This window comes from Homo sapiens, chromosome 8 (genome assembly GCF_000001405.40).
Source record: "Homo sapiens chromosome 8, GRCh38.p14 Primary Assembly".
Classification (NCBI taxonomy): Eukaryota; Metazoa; Chordata; class Mammalia; order Primates; family Hominidae; genus Homo; species Homo sapiens.
Genome location: NC_000008.11, coordinates 25,949,982 through 25,967,989, shown reverse-complemented (window position 1 = coordinate 25,967,989; position 18,008 = coordinate 25,949,982). Strand labels below are relative to the sequence as shown.

Genomic DNA, 18,008 nt, shown 5'->3' with positions numbered 1-18,008 from the left:
ACAAACTCTTGAGTACATATTGTGTGTATATATTCTGTAAGTATACATACTATAGTAAGTGCTTTACCTGGCTACTGGAAACCTCATTTAATCTTCTCAATGACACTCCTATTTGGCAGGTTCTATTCTTACCCTTGTTTTACGTGTGAGTGTCCTGAGGCTGAGAGATTAAGAAATTTGCCCCAGTTTTAAGTGGAGGAACATAAACTCAAACCTAGGCATCACAACTCCAGAGCTGCAGTCTGAATTGCTACTCTTTGCTGCATTCATGGAGACAGAGTAAGGAAACTAGTCCTTCAATGCATCCTCACCCTTGCCCCCAACACACATAGATTTATGATCTTTTGATTTGACAATGGTGTGAAAGTGATATGCATTCAATAGAAACTATACAAGTTCCCATACAACTTTGCTGTTTTTCACTTTCAGTACAGTATTCAATAAATGACATGAGCTTTTCAACACTTTATTATAACATAGGCTTTGTGTTAGATGATTTAGCCCAACTATAGGCTAATGTAAGTGTTCTGTACACATTCAAGGTAGTTTAGAGTAATAAGCTATGATGCTCACTAGGTTGGATGTATTAAATGCATTTTTGATTTGTGATATTTTCAATTTATATTGAATTTATTGGGATATAACCCCATTGTATGTTGAGGAGCATCTGTACATGGATCCAATTCTCTACCCAAAAAAGAGCTCCGTTTTTCTTTGTATCTTCTAAAACTTAGCTACAGATTTTCAAGCTCTTGCCTTAGCCTCTGTTCTTAGCAATGGTTTAATAAACACATTTCATCTTTTCCTTTCCTGCCTCTCCCGATGTTAGTTCCCCTGTAGCAACATGCTGTGTGCACCATTAGTTGGAGTTTTGATTTCCCAAATACATAGACCCATCTGCATTTCATTCCATCATCTCTGATGATGAATTTATTCATTAGCTTCCTTCTCTCCGTTTATTGTAGCAGCATCCATGGCAGCTTTTCCAGGGTTACTTCTATGCATTGTTGACATTGGCTCTAGGATTTATATATGTTCAGGGATGGTGTCTGGGCAGGCCCTCTAGTGACAGTCTATAGAAAAGAATCTCTGGCCAACCATGTGGCAGGAAGGGCACCACAGCTTGTTGTGGCTGTAGCTTTGTTACCTTAGTCTGGAGAATTTCTCCTTGCCTTCTCATACACCCCAGCATGCTGGCTATCTGGATTTGGAGAGAAAGGTATGCAGGCTGCCTGGCTTTACTGGCTCTCTTATCACCCAGATGGCAAGAAGGTTTGCAACAGAAGGCAGGAAGATCAGGCTCAGTCTTTTCTGAGGAACTCAAAGAGGAGATGGGCCAAGGCATTGTCTCATTAGGATTTTGAGAAAGAACTCGGGCTTGTTCATAAAGACAGTTCAGAAACCTCTGTCCTATACTTTATGTAATAGAATAAAGCCCCTTTGGAGTTAACAGCAAATCTCTCAGATTGCATTTACCTTCTTGCATCTACAGTTCCGTTTCTTTCTGCCTAAGTAGATATGCTATTGCTGTTTGCAAGGGTGTGGATGAGGGTAGAGTCCGGAAAGTGATTTCCTCTGAGTCCCAGGAGCTTCTAGGAACAGGCTTGGGATGGTGTGGGAAAAGAAGGGAAGAAAAGCAGTGCCCTGCAATACATTGCAACTGCACCCCTCCTTCCTTCAGGAGCAGGGTTGAGCGACTTATGCCAAATACACCTGTTCTTAAATTGCCAGGTGAATGAATCAAAATCTCCAAAAGCCTAGGCAGCCTCATCCCTGACTTGGAAAACCATGGATCATCTCTAAGCCTTTAGATGCTTTGTCTCTAAAGCCTCAGGCCTTGAGCAAAAGCCCTCTTGCCCTTTGAGAAGGAGCCAGCCTGGCCTGCAGTTGGGTCAAATGCATACCTCTGGCTGGATGGCTGAACGTTACCTGTCCTTTTTTTTCTTCAACTTCTCCCACCTTGCACTGTTGCAACCTATGCCCCAAATGATCAGTTGGGTGAGAGATTCCTTGTTCATAGAGTGCAGGGGCCAACTGCAGTCAGGATAACCGAGGGCAGGACGCACTTTGCTGATGCCCTGGCAGAGGAAATTGCAGCTTTGCTGCCCTCGGCCAGGTACACATTGTTGGGGTTCACTCTGCTCTACTTAATCTGCTGTTTACTGTTCTAGTAAATGCCCTCCCCATCTTTCACTGTGGGAGAGCTGTGGTGACTGCCTCAAGAGGTGACTCTAGGGCCCTACAGTGAGTTCATGGGTGAGGCATGTCTCCTTCAGCAAGGGACCCTAATGTCTTCTGGTGGCCTTCATAGCAGTTGTCCACCCTTTTGTCTTTAGTTGGAATGGCAGGGATCAGACTACCCACAGTCAGTCTGAGTTGGTACCATCTCTGCTGTCTGTCATCTCCTGCTGAAAGTTGACAGATAGGATTTCTCCCTGAGTGCATGCTTACGTTTGCTACATTCACTTTTCACTTCATATATTATTTTTGGCAACTGAGAAAATATAGAGGACTCTCAATCTCCAAAGTCGTTAGCATTTCCATGCACAGTGGATTTAGACTCAGCCTTGCCCTTGTTGGTGAGCTAGATGAGATCAAAAGCACCCCAAATCTGCATATAAGCAAAGCAGTCTAACCAAGATCTGTGAGTGAGCGCTTTTAATGTTGCTTAACAAAATATGTTACACAAAATCGTTATAGACTGAATAGGTACTTTGAGTTCCAACAAAGTAAAGCAAAGTAAACATTGCTCTTTTGGGAAATAAAGTTCTATGTGGTTAGGGGCAGGGCTGTGATTAATTCAGTGGCAATGAAAAGTCCATGAAAATATAGTAAGGTTACTGACTCTGCTTGAGAAACAATTTAATATCTGCTATGTATTAAATATATATGTGTATATATATGTTTTAATACCAAATAATGGGTGGTGGGAGAAGAACTGATATTTCTCATCTTTAATTATAAATTAATGTGCTGATGCTCTAGATATCATAGCTCCATCAATTATTGATATTGACCTCACTACAGAAATCAGTAAGGAAAACAGAGTGATGAAAGGCAGCATTGAAGAGATGAGGACTAAGCTTCTATGACAGTCCCTCTGTGTGTGCATGCATGCGCCTGTGTGCAAACATCCGCATGTGTAGGTACATATAGATAACTCAGTTTACCTTTACAACAATTATCTACTGAACTGGAGATTTCTCAGAGCTCTTGGACTGTAGCCTTGTCCAAAGTGCATGCCTTCATAATGTGCATTTTAATGTTAAATGATTTTTAATATTCTACATATGGTTTCATGGTTTTAACTCTCCTCTCTGGGAATGAACAGGGCTGTGGTATTATGATGAATAGTGGACCGTGTCCAGGACACCCACTTACTTCCCTACATATCAAACATGTGGCGCTCCCATTAAACATGGAACTGTCTCTAGAGATTACAGTTGTCCTATCTAATCCAGTCCTGTTTTGTTCCCTCGACCCAGATTGAGAAGGATACATTGTTCTCATACATTCTTTTTTTAATTAAATGTGGTGGATATGTCACGTCCATGAAATATTCCAGGTCTGTTTTCACATCTGTGGTCATTTTCTCCTCCTCTCCTTCCATTTGGCTTTTTGGAAAGAAAACCAATCCTAAACGTATACTTGGATTAATTGATTGGTTGTGTGCAATTTGCCAGGACAGTTTAGATATGATCTTAATTTTTTGTTTCTAATCCCAACAGAATGTTCTCTGTTGCTGCTCTTTGCAGACACTCACCGAAGCTCTCGTCATTCCTATCCAATGATTGTTTGAGTATGATATTCTTATTCAAATTGGTTCATCCAAATTCACTTCTCCCTCCCCTTGTACTGGGGTGTGCAAGAGAACCTTTAGGTGCGGGGTATGCCTGTGTGTGTTTTAAGTTTTAATTGCTAGGATCATTTGCTAATTGATCCTATTGATACAAAGTACTGTTAGGAGCCTTCTATATAGACAGTGCTTCATCAGCAGCAAGGAAACCTGATATCCCATAAAATTCTCCATTCAATTATAATTTTAAAATACTGGAGTAAACTCCTAGCAATTCACAAGAGGCTAAACTAGAGCCCCATTAGAAGGGTACTACAAGTAAACATTATTAATTATAAAAAATTGCCTAAATTAGATTTTTTTCACACCTGCTTCTTGCTTAATTAGCTAGCAATCCACATATTCCATTCAATTGAACTCTTACTATTTATTCAAGCATACTTGACATTAACATACTGTTTGATGTTTGATATCCTCAGTTTTAATTTAACCACATGACAACAAATGGTGTTTATGAAGTACCAGTGAGCTGGAAAAATATCCTGCATTGTAGTCGCACATGGGAGTGAATAGAGAATTTTTCTTTTGGAAGGGCTTGATGGCAGTAGGAAAATGAGACCCTCATTTTGTTTAATTTTTGAATGTTTTCATTCCTGTTCTCTATCACACCCCGTAAGAGGGCTTTGGAAGGTCCTACAAGGACAGCACCGGGGCTTTGTTGCAAAAATATCCTTGAGAGCATTAATGATGGAAAGAAGTATTGTGCACCTGCTGGCACTCGGGAAGAATTTTACAGAACTGCCTTTATGTTAAAAATGCCATGGCCATTCTTTAGGGATTAAAGAAGAGGGCAGGTACATGAAGATCTTGCAGCTAAATGGGGCTGTCTGGTATCAGGGAGGAGAAAAATGAGATGCAGAGGCCAAAGGCTAGAAGTTGGCCATTATCAATGAGTCATTTTCCCTGTGCCTTGGCTAAGCCAAGGTGACCAGGTAATTCCTGGGGTGGACCTGGCACTAAGGACCTCTTCACTGTGTTGCTTCCATATCTGAGAGTCCAAACTGATGCCCTTGAAAGGGATATCAACAACAGGAACGGGATACACAAGTTCAACATAAACCTGACAACAAAGGCCTTGGACTTGTTATTTGGAGACTCCCATGTCTAATTGGATTTATTCCTTAAACTTTTCCCCTGCCCCTCCAGAAGAGCACATGAGGGAGTTAGTGGTTGTGATTCCTGTCAGCCACTTTGTAATGCGAGGACCTTGCAATCTGGTGATGAAACTCAACTTGGAAAATTCCCTGGGCCAAGAGACAAAAGAGAAAATTGTCTCCATAATGTATTGATTCTGACTAATGACATAACTTGTTGTAGGGGATTTGGATTGATAGCCACTGGCTTGTCTCCAGTAAGACACCATGTCACATCTGACTCTGATCAAACTGTCTGTAAATCATTTTTAACTTGGGTCCTGTAGATTTTGTGTTCACACCACAACTATGGCTTGGGTTTGACATCATTATTCTTCGCTTGGACTGTCTTTGTTTAAGAGCCACTTAAAATTTTTGGCTGCTGGTGAATAGAGAAGCCTGTTAGCTGAGGAAAACATGTTGATGTCACACACTTGCAGGATTTTTTTTTTTTTTAATTTTGGTCAGGCTGTGTGGATCCAAGAAAGTGTGTGGTGTTACCCGTAATAGGGGGATGGCTTTAGGTTCAGAGGCTAGATTCAGATATGTCTGGATAATAGTTGGAAGTTGGAAGCCATCTCTTGGGACCCCGCATATTTACATCAGGGCTGATACTTCTTGCTTCTGGAGGGGCTTGTTATTCTGGGATGAACTTGTTTTCCAAGACAGCCCTCTTTGCAACTGGGGTCCACACAAAACCAGGTGTGTCAGAGAACCACAACTACCAACACCCTGCACTCATATTGCTTACAATCCTCAAGGAAATGGGTCTTGGACAGGATATGGAATCAAGATTTAGACCCCCTTTTTGCTTTTTTGTTTTACTCTTCATGCACAGGAACACATGAACTCAAAATACATGTTTGAATGGAGAAGAAAACAAGTAAGACGTGTACGTGGCATTCAGAATGCACGTTCCTCCCTGGCCCCCTCCTTGTTATTTGTGTTTAAATTAGGCTACTCTAATAAATATGTATTCCTTATGCCCAGGTCAGTTGGGCAAAGGGTAGAAGGACATGCTACAACTGTGGAAAATATGGTTTGGCTTACACATTTTTTAAGGACAGTTTGGAGAAGCTGTAATCTCCAGAAAGATAATTTTATTAACAATGAGCTTTTAACTTGATAAGAATAATGGGCAAATGAATTTTCCACCTGAAGGGGAATAGATACCTCTATTTGGTTCATTTTCTACTGTAGGTGCCCCTGGCGCTTGAGCCCCTTCCAAAACATATTTCATTTCTGTTAAAGAAAAATTCACAGTTTAGGAAAACCAGCATTATGAGGAGTCATCTCCAAGTTGGTGATTATTTGATTTTTTTCTTAACACCTCACATTAGGGCTGGGCGCGGTAGTTCATACCTGTAATCCCAGCACTTTGGGAGGCCGAGGTGGGTGGATCATAAGGTCAAGAGTTCAAGACCAGCCTGGCCAAGATGGTGAAACGCTATCCCTACTAAAAATACAAAAATTAGCAGGGCGTGGTGGCGGGTGCCTGTAGTCCCACCTACTCAGGAGAGTGAGGCAGGTAATTGCTTGAACTTGGGAGGCAGAGGTTGCAGTGAGCCAAGATCGCGCCACTGCACTCCAGTCTGGGCGACAGAGTGAGACTCCGTCTCAAAACAAAAAACAAAAAACCTCATATTTGAAGTGAGTGAGATTGGTTGAAATATCCCATAAATAGCAAATTGTAAAATTTATTTTAATTATACCAGGGAAATGGAATTCCTATCTTTTACATTTAAATTTTAAGCCTTCTGTTATAGAAAATTTTAAGACACATAAAAGTAGAAAGAATAATATAAATGATATGTACTATATCATTCTAGCTTGTTTCACACACTGTCTTTTTGGTTTTTACTTGTTACTTTCTGCGATTTTTCTTTTTCACGCATATGTGCAATGCAATATAGGGTACAATACACAGCTCTTCCCCACCATGTGCCATACATATAATGAAAGCAGAGCCTTGGGGTGTGTTTTTATATTGATCAATATAGGTACTTATGAATACACACATACTTAACACTTTTATGCACATATGGATAAACACATTTTTATATTTACGTGTGTGCATTTATATCAGTAGCATTATTCTCACCCACAGGTTTAACAGTCTAACACAGGGGAATTGAAAGAGATAAGGAAGATACCTTTAAGTGGACTTCATTAATTACATATTATAATCTGGTTTTCTAAAGAATTTAGCAGTGATTTGTCGCTGTGAGAAATAATTCTGACCACCCCAACAGCTCCATCTCTTGAGGCTTTTTGATGATGCTCTAGAGACGAAACAGCATCAAAGACCAAAGGCTCTTGAATATGCACAACAGTTTTGGTGGGCCATTTCATCTTTCATTAATTCATCTAGTGTGAGACGCATCTACATGTGCCCCCAGCAAAGCAGGAAATGTATAGTAACTGGAACATTTTCACTGGGGCCCATATTGATTGTTGATGTAACCAATGGCGCCTCTACAATTTTAATCCCTCATTCAATATCCCGAGGAGATCTGATAGATATTTATTCTGGCTATTTGTTCATGTGTACATAAAGGTTGTTTTCCAAGGCAGTGGTTTTGCTCTGCCTCCCATGGTTGGGATGATGGGCAGTACTACGTGTTTTACAAGCTTGCTTTTAGGGGCTCTGTGCTGAGCTCTGTGAAGAGAGCCACCGCTGGCCCTGAGGGCATAATTGGTTCTTCGATAGGAATCCCATTTCTTTAGAAATAGACTGCCCATCTGACAATAGACTTTCCTTCACTCAGGAACTCAAGTAAGGCCATGATGTTGAGGACTCTTTCATCTTTGAGCAAGGGTGGAGTCTGCCTATCCTGACTCAGAGATCCCTAAAACTGGAGTAACAAAGAGTGGGTGTTCATTTTCTCTGGGTGGCCAGTGAAGTTCTCCCTGCTCCTCCCTTCCTTAGATACATGAAGATCACTGCTTTAGGGAAATAGACACACTCAAAGTTCACCCGACCAGAACCCAGGAAAGGTGAATAGGCTGGGAATTGGGTTATTTGTGTTTATTCTGGTCTAGGTTTACCCTTGGATATGCCCCTGAGCTGTTGGTGTCTCATCCATAGAATGGGACCATACTACCTAGTCCTTTAAGTATTTGGGATGATTTTCTTTTCTTGCTGTTGGGTGCCATTTGCTTCTCAGACCTCCACATTCCTGACTGTAAGCCCTTCCATTTTGGATGCCATGTTTTGCATGAGACTCTGGAGTTGTAATTCTAGGCAATGAAACCCAGAGGGAAAGGGTAAGGAACAGAACTTGGGGGTAGACACATCAGGACCTGGGGCAAAGATGTTTGCGGCAAAATGGCTACAGTGCTGACACAGCTGGCTGCTGAGCTATGGATTTAGGAAAAAGAAAACCCAAATCAAAACCTCCCCCAAACAACAAATGAGAATCAGTCCCACTATGGGAAGAAAAATGGCCGTTACATTTTTACACCACAATTCATTTGCTTATAAAAAGATATCTTAGGCCAGGCCTTGTGGCTCATGCCTGTAATCCCAGCACTTTGGGAGGCTGAGGCAGGTGGATCACCTGAGGTCAGGAGTTCAAGACCAGCCTGACGAACTTGGTGAAATCCTATCTCTACAAAAAATACAAAAATTAGCCAGGCATGGTGGTGGGCGCCTGTAATCCCAGCTACTCAGGAGGCTGAGGCAGGAGAATCACTTGAAACTGGGAGGCAGAAGTTGCAGTGAGCTGAGATCACGCCACTGCACTCCAGCCTGGGTGACAGAGAGACAGTCTATCTCAAAAAAACTTTAAGCAAGCATTGTCTCTCCTTAGAAGCCAGAAAAACAACCTTATGTTTGCTCCTGGCTTTGTAGAACAACCCAACATATTGAAGAAATTCCTGAGCACCAGAAAAATGGAATGGCCATTCCTCCACTTTACGAAAAGTCCAGCCTCAGCTCATCCTCCCCTCGGGGTCTGCATCATTGTCCTTTGGCTCAGCCTAACCTTATGAGGTTCCCAAAGCCCTCGTCCTGACAGCAGCCGTTCAGCTTTGTCTGAGGCTGATGGTGGCACTTAGAGCTGGGTAAACAAAGCTTCCAGACTTGATTTTATTTTTCCTGTCAAAAAGAAATGGAAAGAGGCTACTTCAGATTCTACCAAAGTCATAATAAAACTAGACCTACTGGGTCACCATATGTGGGGAAAAGTTCTCCTGGGCCTTAGTGTAAACACTCAGGGAGGGAAATAAAGAAAGGGAAAGCCGCCGTTCTACTGGCAACTGTCGTTAGGTAGTATAAACAATGGCCCGTCACTGGCATGGAGTGGAGGCTCAGATTCCAATAGCACTCAACAGGGAACCTTCCTTAAAAAATTAGAAGAAGCTGGGCTGGAGTTGGTCCATGCTGGGAATGGCAGAAGAAGCAAAAACAAGAGTAAATGAATGGAAATTAAGCAGCAGGAAATGGGGATTTGGCACAAAGCTGGAATTTGAAACTGCAGAGAGGTGTCAGTGATAAGGTTGTATAAAGTTTCTGGCCAAAAAAAGAGAGAGAAGGAATGCAGATGTGTTCATTGAATAAAGTGCAGATGGAGAAAGGGGCAGGAAGAAAAAAAAAAATGCCGGGGAAATCATAATGAGTGGAGGTGCATTTATGTTTAGCAAAACTTTAAAAATTATTCTCCCTGCATGTCTGGATGAAATTACAGGTTGGTTCAGATTGTTCCAATCTATTGGAGAGATTAAGACCACGTTTATTTACTTTTACCTTTTCCTGCTCTGAGCAGACTGGGCTGTTTGTGTTGGGAGGCTCTGGGCAGGCAGAATCCAGGTATGAGTCTCTGTTTGGAATCTGCTCAGGAACTGCAGCCATCAGTTCCTCTTTAGATAGAAATAACCGGGATGCCTCTGGAGAGTTTAAATCTTTGTGCGGGTTTGTTATCTGTCTGGGAGGCTCATGAGAAGACATGCAGCAAAGAGATCTGACCCCTTGCACACATGAGCCCTCTCCCTTGGCTGTGCAAGGAAGCTTGCCTTTTGCGTTCTGCCTGCCTTCCTCACTCCCATCTGGCAGGGCTCAGTTACACTGCTCACTGGCTAAAGATGGTCTGTGCATCACAGGGCAATCCTATGTTTAAACACCATCTTATTTGGTAACTAACAGGCTGAAATTGGCCTCTCCAGTTGTACCTTGGTCATGCAATCATGGTTCACCACGATCTTGAACTCCTGGGCTCAAGTGATCCTTTCATCTCAACCTCCCAAGTAGCTGGGACTACAGGTGCGTGCCACCACACCCGGCTAATTTTTATTTTTATTTTTGTAGAGATAGGGTCTTGCTATGTTGCCTAGGCTGGTCTTGAACTCCTGGGTTCAAGCAATCCTCTCACCTTGGGCTCCCAGCTTGCTGGGATTACAGGCATGAGCCACTGCACCTGGCTGGTCCCCTCTATTTCTTGTCCAGCCTTGGATGTAGTTAAATAACTCAAGGGACCCATTCCAAACACTGTTGCTCCACAGGCAGTGGGGATGGGAGGCAGTGGGAAGTGGTGAAGAGGTGGCCTGCGGGGGAGGGGAAAAGGTCTGTAACCCTGAACTAGCAGATGGGATGCTGGCCCAAGTCACTTTACCATCCTTAGATGTCAATTTGTCATTTTCCCAATAAGACTAACACCTACCCAGTGTATTTTAGAGCCTTTGTTTGTTTGCTGAAACTCTTGTGAAGACATGTGTATGAAAGTACTTTGCAGAATACCCTGTATTATCATATGCAAAGCATCATGATCTTCATTATCTGTGGGAAAGAAAGATTTGCTCTTGGGGGGGAAATGGCAGTTTTAGCAAAGAGCTGAGGTGTCTCGAGGCTGGAAGGCAGTCTGGACATAAAATTTCCACAGCCATCCTTCTTTCAAACAGTAAAAGTGGGTGCTTTTGGATGTACACTTCTGACATTCTGGGGTTTTAAAAGCAATGTAAGGCACAGCAATAAATGTGGCCCTTGCCAGATATTCTCGATCTGTCAGTATGGATATTGGTAGATGCACAATGGTGGGTAATGCGTCAATCTGGCTTCCTTCCCTAGATGAGCGGTGTTTCCTTGGGGACAAGCACAAATGTCATGTTTTCTATATCAATGCTGTTGATATAATAGTCTGGATTACCTTCAGTTCTGATTGTGTGTCATCTTGGGAGAGAATACTGTTTAAATGTTAGCGCTGAATAATGAAAATTAGGTGAGGAGTGGATGGTGGGTGAATATTAAAATGTCGCCATCACAACGGCCCCACCTGCCCTGTAGGGCCCTGTCCCTGTCCATCTACTTTCTCTGCTGATTCTGGGTCAGAAATACAACATGTTCTCACTTATAAATGGGAGTTAAATAACTTGTACACATGGACATAGAGTATGTAATAATAGTCATTGGAGATTTGGGAGGGTGGGAGAGGGCGAGGGATGAGAAATTACTTAATGCATACAATGATACAAGGTACACTATTGAGATGATGGCTACACTAAAAGCCCAGACTTCCCACTCTGCAATATATCCATGTAACAAGAGTACTTGTGCACCTTAAATTTATACTTCATTATAATAATAATAATTTTTTTTTTTTTTGAGAAGGAGTTTCGCTCTTGTTGCCCAGGCTGGAGTACAATGATGCGATCTCGGCTCACTGCAACCTCCACCTCCCAGGTTCAAGGGATTCTCCAGAGTAGCTGGGATTACAGGCATGTGCCACCACACCCAGCTAATTTTGTATTTTTAGTAGAGACGGGGTTTCTCCATGTTGGTCAGGCTGGTCTCGAACTCCCGACCTCAGGTGATCTGCCCGCCTCAGCCTCCCAAAGTGCTGGGATTACAGGCATAAGCCACTGAACCCGGCCAGCAATTTTTTTAAAAAAGGAATAATGCTCTCCCTCCCCATCCCTGTGCAGACCTACACACCTGCCCATTTGGTACCACACATATTTGGGGGGACAAAAGGTACATTCATACTCCAATTCCTTTTTTTAAAAAATAAAGATGGGGTCTTGCTCCATTGCCCAGGCTGGTTTTGAACTCTTATCCTTAAGCTGGGCTTACAGGTGTGAGCCCCTGTACCTGACTAACACCTCAGTTCTTGGGAGAGCAGTGTTTCCTTGGGGACAAGCTATATTCCCAAACACAGAAGGTAGTCTCATCCAAAATATTAACTTATATTCACCAAACACAGAAGGTAGCACTTAAATGTAAGCCAGAATGAGACTTTCAAGGGGCAAACCTAGACACAACTGCAGTTAGGGACAAGTGCCCCTAAACATGGCTTGTGGCTCAAGCTATTGGGAGCATAAACATATGACTCCCCAAGCTCTCTCCTTTTTCCTTCCTTCAAATCCTTTATTTCTTCTCCTTTTAAAGACATCAATAAGCTATATAAAAGTATAGAAAATGTGTTAAAATAACAGTCTTTTAAGACTATCTTTAGAAAAATCCGTTTTCATTTTTTTTATGTGCCTGGACACAGGAGTATATACATTTTTTATAGTGGTAAAATCTCTATTAGGTTATTAATTTTTAGGCCCCTCTAAAATGCTTAGAGTCTCACAAAATACATAATGCTACCCACAAAATACCTCTGGAGCTTCTCCCTCTCCTCTAATTCTCAAGGCCCCCACCTGAATTTAGGGCCTTCCTCTCACCTTGGTGAATAGAATGGCTTCCAAGCTGGTTTCTTGCCTCTAGGCCCTTCTTATACCCCCAGAATTAACTTCCTAGAGCACAAACTTGACCCTCTGTTTAATGCCTGGCAGCAACTCCCAGCACCTTTGGAGGGAAGCCCCGTCCCCAAGGGTCCTTGTCTGTGGGCCCAGCCAGGCTCCGGGGAGTGTGGCGCTAGAGTGGTATGCTCTTGTCGCTGTGATCAGCCCTGGTTTCTTGTGTCTGCCGCAGCCCACACTGTTCTGGGGATGCGCTCCGTGCCCTCCTCGAACCCTCTGATCCTCCCAGAGCGTGCAGCCCCTGGGCGCCTTGTTTACAGCGGCTGCACAACCTGGCGCGCTGCGTCTGAGTCCTCGCAGCACAGACCCCAGGTCCCTAGCCAGCCGCAGTCACTGTGGTGAACAAATTAGGCACAGCTCCTACCTTCGCAGAGGCAGCAATCCATTCGGGGAAGCCAGCCATGGTATAATTAAAAGTGCACTGAGTATCCATGTCCTCCAGCACTGCGGGGTGCCATAGCAGCAAATAACCAGGGGACCCAAACAGGCTTGGGGAGCCGCGAGGGCTTTCTGTGCCAAGGGAGGGATGTCGATGAGAGTTCTGAAGGCTCCCTGGGGGAAGGGGCGGGGGCGGTGCTGGAAGTGAGTGGGGGCACTTTCCCTGAGAAGAGCCTTGAACGGTGAGTACAATCCAAATAAGCATGTGGGAAACGGTGGTGCAACACGACGTTTCCTCCGCATTGATTCCCTTCACTGAAGGCCCTCAAAATATGTGAATTTTGTTTTTCTTAGTGCCTCAGAGCTTGAGGCATTTGTGAAAGCCAAGACCCATTGCCCTTGACCTCTGGGGGTCTTTCTCTTTGGACCTGTGCTCTCTGCACCTGGCAGAGATGCACCCAACGAAGTAGGAATGGGCTCATCTCCCTGCGCGCGAAGGTGGGGCCGCTGAGCAGAGCGGCAAGGTGCCCTGTGGCTCTCCAGACTCAGGTGGTGCATTTAGCAGCAGGAAGCCACCAACGGGCAGCCCTCTGGGATGCTGTGGATGCCAGAATGGAGGCTCCAGGAAAGCAGTTTGGGTTTCCAGGTGGCCCGATATCACTCTTACTCCGCCTGAACTATTTTGAGACACTCCTGCCATCCTTCTCTCTCCCACACATACCCTTAATATGACTAGAATATAGCTAGTTCGAGCTAACATATGTTCTTATAATTATGTTGCTAGCATGATAGATTATTTATTCTACTCACTTTTTTTCCCGAGTCTCTGCACTGTGTAACCAAGACTAAGGAGCTTGTTTAAATAAAGAGATACTAACACACCTTGACAGCAGCCTATAAAAAAAAGGAAAGCCCAACCTTTAACAGGTCTCAAATCTGCATCCCATCTGTTTAATATGCAACCTAATGTGCTGCTGGGAGGCTCAGTTTCCTAGCAGCCGAAGGGAGAACCAGAGGCTCTGTCTACTAAGCCGCTGATCTCTGACGATGGAGGATTTGAGTGTCCAGCTCTGTGTGATGTTGCCCTAACTAGGGACTGTCATTCACCTGGAGGGGTGCTCAGTGAGTGGGCTTTGGAGCCAATAGGCACTGGAGCCAGAAGGAGTCTCCACAGCCTTTGGGGCCAGCCTTCTCTTATTGCTGATGGGGAATCTGAAGCCCTAAGCACAGTGTCTTAGGTGACACTGTCTCTGATGGTGACACAGAGACTCAGTGAAGGGTCAGATCCCGAATCAGCTGCCCTGACTGCATTCAGTGTCTTTTTTCCTCTGCGGTATGGGACTGGAAGATCAATGGAAATGGGTTCCACCACCCATTCTGGGAGGCAAAGCAGAAGCCAGGAATCAACCACTCCATCCATTTCCTATGACTTCTCTGAGGAGGAGCTTATTCTCTCTCTTCTTTAATTTAAATGCTTGGAAATGCAATTAAATGCAATAAAAGCCTATATGACCACCTTAAGGAAAATCATGTTTCCATTCATTCCTTTAATCGTTCATTCAACCAACATTTACTGAGTGTCTGTTGTGTGCCAGCCATTGAAGACATGGTGATCAATCCAGCAGAGCTCCTGTCCTCCAGGGCTTTCCAATATGGTGAATGAACAGCTAAGTAAACGAGGCATTACAGTCCACTCGCCATGGTCAAGAAATGCCACAGTGGTGTATGCAGAGCTGTGAAGCACACATGGTCTCATGGAGGCACAGAACAGGGGCCCCTACTCCAGGCTGTGTTAGAGCTATTGGTCTTAGGGAAGGCCCCTTTCTTTTGGAGATGAGCTTCTTGATCTGTAACTGGACCAAATGGTCTCTGTGAAGTTTGTTTGTTTTTCTGTTCTAACATCCTGAATAAGGTGTGATGGGAAAGAAGAGGATGGGAAAGAAGTACAAGAAATATCTCAGACTTTCATAAGTTTCAAGCCTAATTGGGAAAAGAACCCCCAATACTTATAGAATAAGTAGAGGAAAAAAAAACCCCAAAGCCTCATTCTATAGTTCAAAGCTATGTTATTTGATATGTACAATAGATACTAAGAAAATTCAGAAAGTGGGAAAAGTAGAATGATTTGGAGTTGGCAGAAAGAGCCCTGTGGGAGAGATGCACATTCACTTGGGTTTGAAATAGAGCATAAAACTTGCATAGATGAAGGGCTGATTGGGGAGGATATCTAGACATGAAGTGTAGGGGGGAGATTAGCAAAGTCTGTGAAAAGGAGTGAGCAGGGCAGGTTGGGCATGAGCCAGAAGGTGAAGTGATTTGTAATAGCTCCTTACCTAATGACTGCCTGGCCACTTCGCAAAATCCCCATGTAGACAGGGTGAGTACATGTTCCTGTTCACCCTGGACAGTTCTGGATCACATTTCTGTTGGCCTACTGTAATTATTTTATTTATACATTATTTTTATTTAAAATGCATACTATATAAATGAATAAATAATTTATAAATAGATAAAATAATAAAATAATTACAATAGGCCAACAAAAAATAAAAATGTGTAAATAATTACAGTAGGCCAACAGGCATGTGAACATACTAGAGTCTTGCTCTGTTACCCAGAGTGGAGCACAGTGGCCAATCATGGATCACTCTAGCCTCCAACTCGTGAGCTTAAGCGATCCTCTTGCCTCAGTCTCCTGAGTAGTTGGGACTGCAGTCACAAGCCACCATGCATGGCTAATTAAATAATTTTTTTTTGTAGATACACGGTCTCACTCTGTTGCCCAGGCTGGCCTGGAACTCCTGGCCTCAAGCAATCCTCCTGCCTTGGCCTTCCACAGGGTTGGAATTACAGGTGTGAGCCAGTGTACCTGGTCTTTTGTGTAATTTTTAACAGAGTCCCCTTTGAACACTTTTCAACATGTTCAAATTTAAAAATGATTAATATGATTGAAAATGATTAATAAAATATTAATCTTTAATAAATGATTAATGAAAAATGATTTCCGACGAATTCTGAATGTTCATCTTGACCTTGCTTGTTTCTCTTAGCATACAGTCTTGAAGTCACTGCTTTTCCTTTCTGTGCTTTTCCATACCTGTCTATAAAATAGGGGGAATGCTTGGTGCCTTCCCTTCTTCCTGGGAACATATGGAGCCAAAAGACATCTTCAACCTCATTCTTTCCTTGGTAGAATTTAACAATATACCCTTAGCTACAGAGAACTAAAAACTCTCTCATCTTTGCCCTAGCTAAGTGTGTGTATTCTCTCCCTTCCCAAGTGAATTTCCAGGTTCTCAGAGAGTCCTCTTTGTCTAAAAGGGTTGGAGCACTGAGTTGGATGACTTGGAAAGTATTTAAAAATTATTTGGACAGAGCCATCATGAAAATACCAGGTGGCCATTGGGAAGTGAGGGGGTGGATTCCATCCAGTGGTGCCACCATTTATCATGTTCAATTGGGTGGGCCAACTAGCATTCTGGAGCAGAGAAAAAAGGACTGTACGTTGTGGGACTTGGTTTTGCTCTCCCAGCTGGTAATCTCAGCTGGGACAGGCCTGGGCTCCAGCTCACATAACCACTCCTCAGGCTCCCGTCTAGCCAGCAGGGAAGATTCTAGTTGCTGGCACTGTCGATCCAACACCTATTTATGAGTACTAAATTTGCAAAAATAATACATGAAAATGAGGTTGTGTGTCATTTCAGCATGTGTTCTCTATAATGAAATAAGATGGTGATATCAAATTACTGGCTAATTTAATTGCCTGGAAAAATTAATTTCTAAAAATGCCAAATAATTTTCAAATCAGAAGGATTAGGGAAGCAGCATCTATTTTTGAGTTTCATTTGGGGAGAAAGCTATACAGAGATTTTATTTTTTATCCTTTAAAATCTATAAACATTACTTTGTCCTTGGCTGGGGTATCAGCTCATGAAAAAGGAGGAGGAGAAGCCCTTTTATCTTCATTTCATTTTGAATTGTACTTATTTTTAAAACTCTGCTTCCTTTTTTTTTAATATCAATTTGTGTTAAAACTGTAGAGGATTTAACTCATTAGTTAACAGCTTTACTGGCCTGTGAATTATGCATTTATGGTACAATTTGAAGCACCAAGGGATGAAAAGATGGTCTAAAGTTTGCCCAAACCCAAAGATCATGGTTCCATGCCTGAGACAGAACAACTAGGGGAAACCTTTGACCCTGGGTCAGTAGTTTAACAGACTTTAACCCATTCCTCCTTGAAGGAGACCCAATCTTTTTGTTTTTAGTCAGGCTCCAGTAAATCTTAGTCCTGTGCAACCACACTTAGGTGCAGCAATGGTTCCCTTTGTCCCCTCTTTGATGCGACTGGATGAGATTCTCAAGGCAGTGGCCAGTGGCGGCCTGGGTATCTGCCTCAGCAGCCAGGAACTTTCAGGAGCATGGAAGCATTTAGATTCTGAGGGCCCCTGCATTGCAGATGCGTTCTTTAAGCAAATACTTCACTTGTGCTTTCTAGCCTTTTACCGGAATTGAGAGACAAGTCCAATTTCATTGTACATTTCCATTACTTTTAATAAAAGTGTGTAAATCTAATATGAGGTAGGCATCAGTAATGGTAGCCATCTTGTTTTAGGAAAATATGGAATTTGAGAGCCTGCTGAAAGAGCTTAAAAGAAGAGAGGTCTTTGCAAAAGTAATGTAATCTAGCGAACATTCTGTTATTCATCAGTGAGTGATTAAAGGAGGAAACAGCTCAGTGGGGCACCTCGTTTCAGATGCTCTGATTAAGGTGGCCATGGTTTATAGAAGCTGGTCTTCGGATGATGTTCATTAATACGGTTCTAGACTGAGACTGACAAGCGCTGCCAGTGTTGTCTTCCTCAAGTAGAATCCCAGATCTCCTTGGCCTCGTGCTTGTTGGT

The 18,008-nt window shown here is 43.0% G+C and overlaps 1 protein-coding gene across 1 annotated transcript in view, besides 1 other annotated feature; it reads left to right on the top strand.

Annotated features, from left to right (window-relative positions):
- EBF2 (EBF transcription factor 2) overlaps positions 1–18,008 on the top strand; it is a 203,689-nt gene that overhangs the window by 77,424 nt on the left and 108,257 nt on the right. The window lies entirely within an intron of this gene.
- Positions 863–1,364: an enhancer, noted in NCBI's record as "NANOG hESC enhancer chr8:25824142-25824643 (GRCh37/hg19 assembly coordinates)". NCBI's record gives its function as "activates a minimal SCP1, AML or CMV promoter by ChIP-STARR-seq in naive H9 embryonic stem cells {active_cell/tissue: H9 hESC(naive)}" and the evidence as "EXISTENCE:reporter gene assay evidence [ECO:0000049][PMID:30033119]".